The sequence below is a fragment of the Homo sapiens genome, chromosome 8 (genome assembly GCF_000001405.40).
Source record: "Homo sapiens chromosome 8, GRCh38.p14 Primary Assembly".
Lineage (NCBI taxonomy): Eukaryota > Metazoa > Chordata > Mammalia > Primates > Hominidae > Homo > Homo sapiens.
Genome location: NC_000008.11, coordinates 51,203,834 through 51,208,987, shown reverse-complemented (window position 1 = coordinate 51,208,987; position 5,154 = coordinate 51,203,834). Strand labels below are relative to the sequence as shown.

At 35.2% G+C, this 5,154-nt stretch overlaps 2 annotated features.

Annotated features, from left to right (window-relative positions):
* Positions 2,804–3,303: an enhancer, noted in NCBI's record as "H3K4me1 hESC enhancer chr8:52118245-52118744 (GRCh37/hg19 assembly coordinates)". NCBI's record gives its function as "activates a minimal SCP1, AML or CMV promoter by ChIP-STARR-seq in naive H9 embryonic stem cells {active_cell/tissue: H9 hESC(naive)}" and the evidence as "EXISTENCE:reporter gene assay evidence [ECO:0000049][PMID:30033119]".
* Positions 3,304–3,805: an enhancer, noted in NCBI's record as "H3K4me1 hESC enhancer chr8:52117743-52118244 (GRCh37/hg19 assembly coordinates)". NCBI's record gives its function as "activates a minimal SCP1, AML or CMV promoter by ChIP-STARR-seq in naive H9 embryonic stem cells {active_cell/tissue: H9 hESC(naive)}" and the evidence as "EXISTENCE:reporter gene assay evidence [ECO:0000049][PMID:30033119]".

The following is a 5,154-nucleotide window of genomic DNA, read 5'->3' as shown; positions in this document are numbered from 1 at the left end:
TTATTAATGTAAAAGCAAACTTGTAATTCTAATATAAATCCCACTTTGTAATAATAGATTACACTTCTTGTTTAATAATAGTTTTGATTTATACTACTTTTGTTATTTTCTTTTGGCCAGTCTGTTGTGAAGAATAATTGGTCATAACATTTGTTTCTTATAATGTCATCGTAAAGCTATTTTTCTTCTATTTTCTAAAAATGTATTATTGATCTCTTTCATAAAACTTTAGCAGAATTGACCAGTAAAGCAATTAGAGCTTTGACATTTTTTCTATAGAATGTTTTGAGTGCAAATGTAATTTCCTTAAGATTAATATGTAATGTTAATTTTATTCTTGCATTTATGTTAATGAATTAATTTTTTCAATATTCTTGTACAACTTATCTAAGTCCTGTAATTTATTGACAGAAGTGATTCAAAACATGTAGGATCTGTACTGAAATTCAATATGTCACTTCTGATATTAGTAATTTGTATTTTGACTCTTTTCTCTTGCTCCAACATTTTAGACTTTTTAAAAATCTGCTAATCTTTTAAAGAATCAATTTATGGTTTTGTTGATTTTCTCCTCTTTTTGTGTGTTCTATTTCATTGATCTCTGCTCTTATTTTTATTATTTTCTTCTCTAACAAAGATATACAAGTGGCCAATAAGCACATGAAAAGAACCTCAACATTATTAATTGTTAGCAAAATACGTAGTAATACCACAATGAAATATCACTTTGCATCCACTAAGGTGGTGACAATCAAAAAATAATAATAGCAAACAAATATAACAAGTGTTGGGAAAGATATAAAGAAATGAAAACCTTTGTACATTGTTAATGGGAATTCAATATGTTGTAGCCACGATGGGAAACACTCTGGAGGTTCCTCACAATTTTAAACATAGAATTACCATATGACCCAGGAATTTCACTCCTCAGTATATACTCAAAAGTAGTAAAAATAGATACTCAAACAAATATTTCCACATAAATACTCATAGCAGCACAATTCACACAGCCAAAAGGTGGGAACAACCCAAATGCTTATCAAGGGACATTTGACATTTGACAAAAGGTGGTATATCCACACAATGGAATATTATTCAGCCTTAAAAAGGAATGAAATCTACTATGTACCACAGTATAGATGAACCTTGAAAGCATTATACTAATATAAATAAGCCAAGCACAAAAAGCGACATAGTGTATGGTTCCATTTATATGAATTAGCCTAATAAATACATTCATTTAACACAAAGGAGATTGGTGGTTTTGGGGAGAAGGCAGTAGGGGATAACTCCTTGATGTGCCTGGGGTTTATTTTGGGACGGTGAACACATCTTGAAACTAGATAAAGGTGATAGTTGTACAACATTGTGAATAAACTAAATGACACTGAATTGTTCACTTTATAAAGATTAATTTCATGTTATTTAAGTCTTATCTCAATTAAAAAAATACCAAAAATCCTCCAAACAAAATACCAAAAAAGATTTCCAATGTGTTAAGAGCTCTAATAAAAAAGTAAGAACATAAAAGACCAGATGCCTAATAGAGATATGGGATTTTTAATTAAAAATCAAAGGTAAATGTTAAGAATAAAAAACACTATAACAAATTAAAAATGCCTTTTGAAGTCATCAGTAGGCAAGGAAGCAAGAGAGCATTGAGTAAAGGATCAGTGAGCATTAATATAAGTTAACAGAAACTTCCTAAAATGAAATTAAAAGGTGAAGTTGGGGGGATGAAAAATAGAACAGAATGTCTATGTACTCTTGAACAATGAAAATGATGTAGTATATGTGTAATTGAGTATCATGAGGAGAATAAAAAGTGAATGGAGCAGAAAGTTGCGAAGTAAGGATGCTGATAACTTTTTAAAATTAATGACAATCGATCACAGATTCAGGAAGGTTATAGAACATCCAGCAAAATAAATACAAAAACAAGAACACCAAAAACCTTTCACCTTAAACATATATTAAAACTCCAGGAAACAGGAAACAAAGATCAACTTCTAAATAGACCCAGAGTTGAGGAAAACACCTTATCTATAGAGGAAGAATAACAGAAACATCAGATTCTTTATGGAAACCACATAAACAAAAGAAAATCTAGTTGAAAAATAGTTATTTCTTTAAAATGTTGAAAGAACAAAAACTACCAACCTAAAATTCTATATCCTGTGAAATTACCTTTCAAAAGTAAAAAGAGATAGTCTTTCTCACACAAAAACAAATAGAATTCATGGCCAACAGACATACTTTGTAAGGTTTATTATTATTTTTTATTCTGGAAGAAGGAACCATTTAGGTCAGAATATTGAATCAACATGAAGAAATGCAGAACAACAGAGAAGTAATGACTTTTGGTAAATTAATATGTTTTATTATTTATAATTCTTAATGATGTAAAAGATAACTATTTATTATAAGTAATAATAGTAATAAAATATCATGCATTTACAGCCTATTAATAAGTTAAATGAAAGACAGCTTTGTCACAAGGGATGTGAGAGTGAAAATTTGGATCCTCCGTTATAAGTTGCCTGAAGTAATATGAAAAATAGTATCATTTTAAAGTGGCCTTGAAGTAGTTAAAAATTTATATTGTAAACTGTAAGAAAAACACTAAAAAAAAAATCAGAGGAAGTAGAAGTGAGGCCAAGCATCAGGACTCATTCCTGGTCTTGAATGGCTTCTAAGGAAGGGGTGAGCGAAATAAATATAGAACAGCTCACTATCTCCACAGATCTCTGGGATCCTAGTCTAGATGACCCCATGATCCCCACGGTCATTTGAGTTGGCAGGAGAAACTGCCCAGAGATTTGGCAAAGACAGAGCTTGAATCTGCACAGAGCCCAGTTGAGTTAGTGGGGGCAAGGATGTGGTGGAACACAGCTATAGGCACCCATCCCCCAACATTCTCCATATTCCCCCAGGTAGCTTTAACTTTGTTATCTGCTGCACCTGGAGAGAACATGGCTGCCTTTCTTCTGGCACAGGGGTGAGTTTCATCTGTGCACCCTCACCCCCTTTCTGCTGGCCCCATCCAGAGTCCCTGCCTGACAACACCAGTTCACAAACATCTTCAGCTGTCTCACTAAAGCACTTTTGCAGTCGCTATGGCCATAGTGCTCTTGCAGGCAACCCCTGTCACCCCACCACAACACTTTTGCTGACAGTCCCCCACCAGAGTGTGTCCCTCCAAGATGCCCCCCACCAATCGCTGCCCTACTGGAATACATTTGGCCATGACTCTGCCACAGCCCCACTGGAGCACCTTCACACACTGCCCCCATGCTGCCTGCCAGTGCACTTTTGCACACAACCCCCATGGAGTGCTGTTGCCAGTGGTCTGGGAGCATCTCAGCCCTGCAGTGCAGCCGGTGCTGCACCTCAAGGGCCAGAGGACAAAGCTAAGGGCCTGATTCCAGCCACCCAGGGTGGAGCATGCAGTCCAGGATTGCTGAGCTGAAACTTGGCCCTCTGAAAGCATCTGGAAATGAAGCCATTCGACTATACACAACTCGTACCACAGTCAAACCCTCAGGGGCAATAAAGAACATAAAAACAAAAAGCCCCATTCAAAGGACAACAACTTCAAAGAATAAAGGGACATCAGACCTGACAGATGCAAAAGAACCAGTGCAAGAACTCTGGCAACTCTTAAAGTTAAGAGTGTCTTCTTACTTGCAAAGGATCACACTAACTCCTCAGCATTGGTTCTTAACTAAATAGAAATGGCTGAAATGTCAGCAATGGAATTCAGAAACTAGATGGCAATCCAGTGTAATGAGATATAAGAGAAGATTGAAACCAAATCTAAGGAAAACAGCAAAACAATCCATGAGTTAAAAGATGACGTAGCTATTTTAAGAAAGAACCAAACTGAATTATTAGAAATAAAAAATTCACTACAGGAATTTCATAAAACAATTGAAAGCATAAACGACAGAATAGACCAAGCTGAGGAAAGCATCTCAGAGCTTGAAAATAGCTCCTTCAAAGCAACGCTGGTAGACAAAAATAAAGAACAAAGAATATTGACAAATGAAGAAAACCTCTGAGAAATATGGGATTATGTACAGAAATATGGGACTGTGTAAACATATGACTCAGTGGCATTTCTAAATGAGAAGGAGAGAGAGCAAGCAAGTTGCAAAATATATTGGAGGAAATAATTCATAAAAATTTCTGCATTTTCAGCAGACAGGTTGACATGCAAATTCAAGAAATGCAGAGAACCCCTGTGAGGTACTGGACAAGGTGACCATCCCCAAGACATAAGAGTAATCAGATTCTTCAAGGTCAACATGAAAAAAAAAATTCTTAAAGGTAGCTAGAGAGAAGGGGAAGGTCACTTACAAAGGGAATCCCATCAAACTAACAGCAGAACTTTCAGCAGAAACCTTACAAGCCAGAAGAGATTGGGGGCCTATTTTCAACATCCTTAAAGAAAAGAAATTCCAACCGAGAATCTCATATTCCATCCACCTGAGCAAAGAAGAAATAAAATCATTTTCAGACAAGAAAATCCTGAGGGAATTTGTTGTCACTAGACCTGCCTTACAAGAGGTCCCAAAGGCAGTGCTAAATATGGAAATGAAAGAATATCTGCCATCACAAAACACACTTAGGTATATAGCCCATTGACACTATAAAGCAATTATACAATCAAGTCTATATAACAATTAGCTAATGATAGGATGACAAGATCAAATCCTCACATATCAATATTGATGATTAATGTAAACAGGCTAAATGCTCCACTTAAAAAGCATAGAGTGGCAAGTTGGATAAAGAAGCAAGACTGAGCTGTCTGCTGTCTTCAGGAGACCCATATCACAAGTAACAATACACATAGGCTTAAAGTAAAGAAATGGAGAAATATTTATCATGCAAACAAAAATTAAAAAAAGCAGGCATCACTATTATTATAACAGATAAAACAGACTTTGACCAACAATGACCATTCAAAAGGATAAAGAAAGGCATCAGATAATGACAAAGTGTTTAATTCAACAAGATGACTTAACAATCCTTAATACATATACATCCAATGTTGGAGCACTCATTTTCACAAAACAAGTTCTTAGAGATCTACAAAATGATTTAGATAACCATACAGGAATAGTGTGATTTGAAATCACACTGACAGTA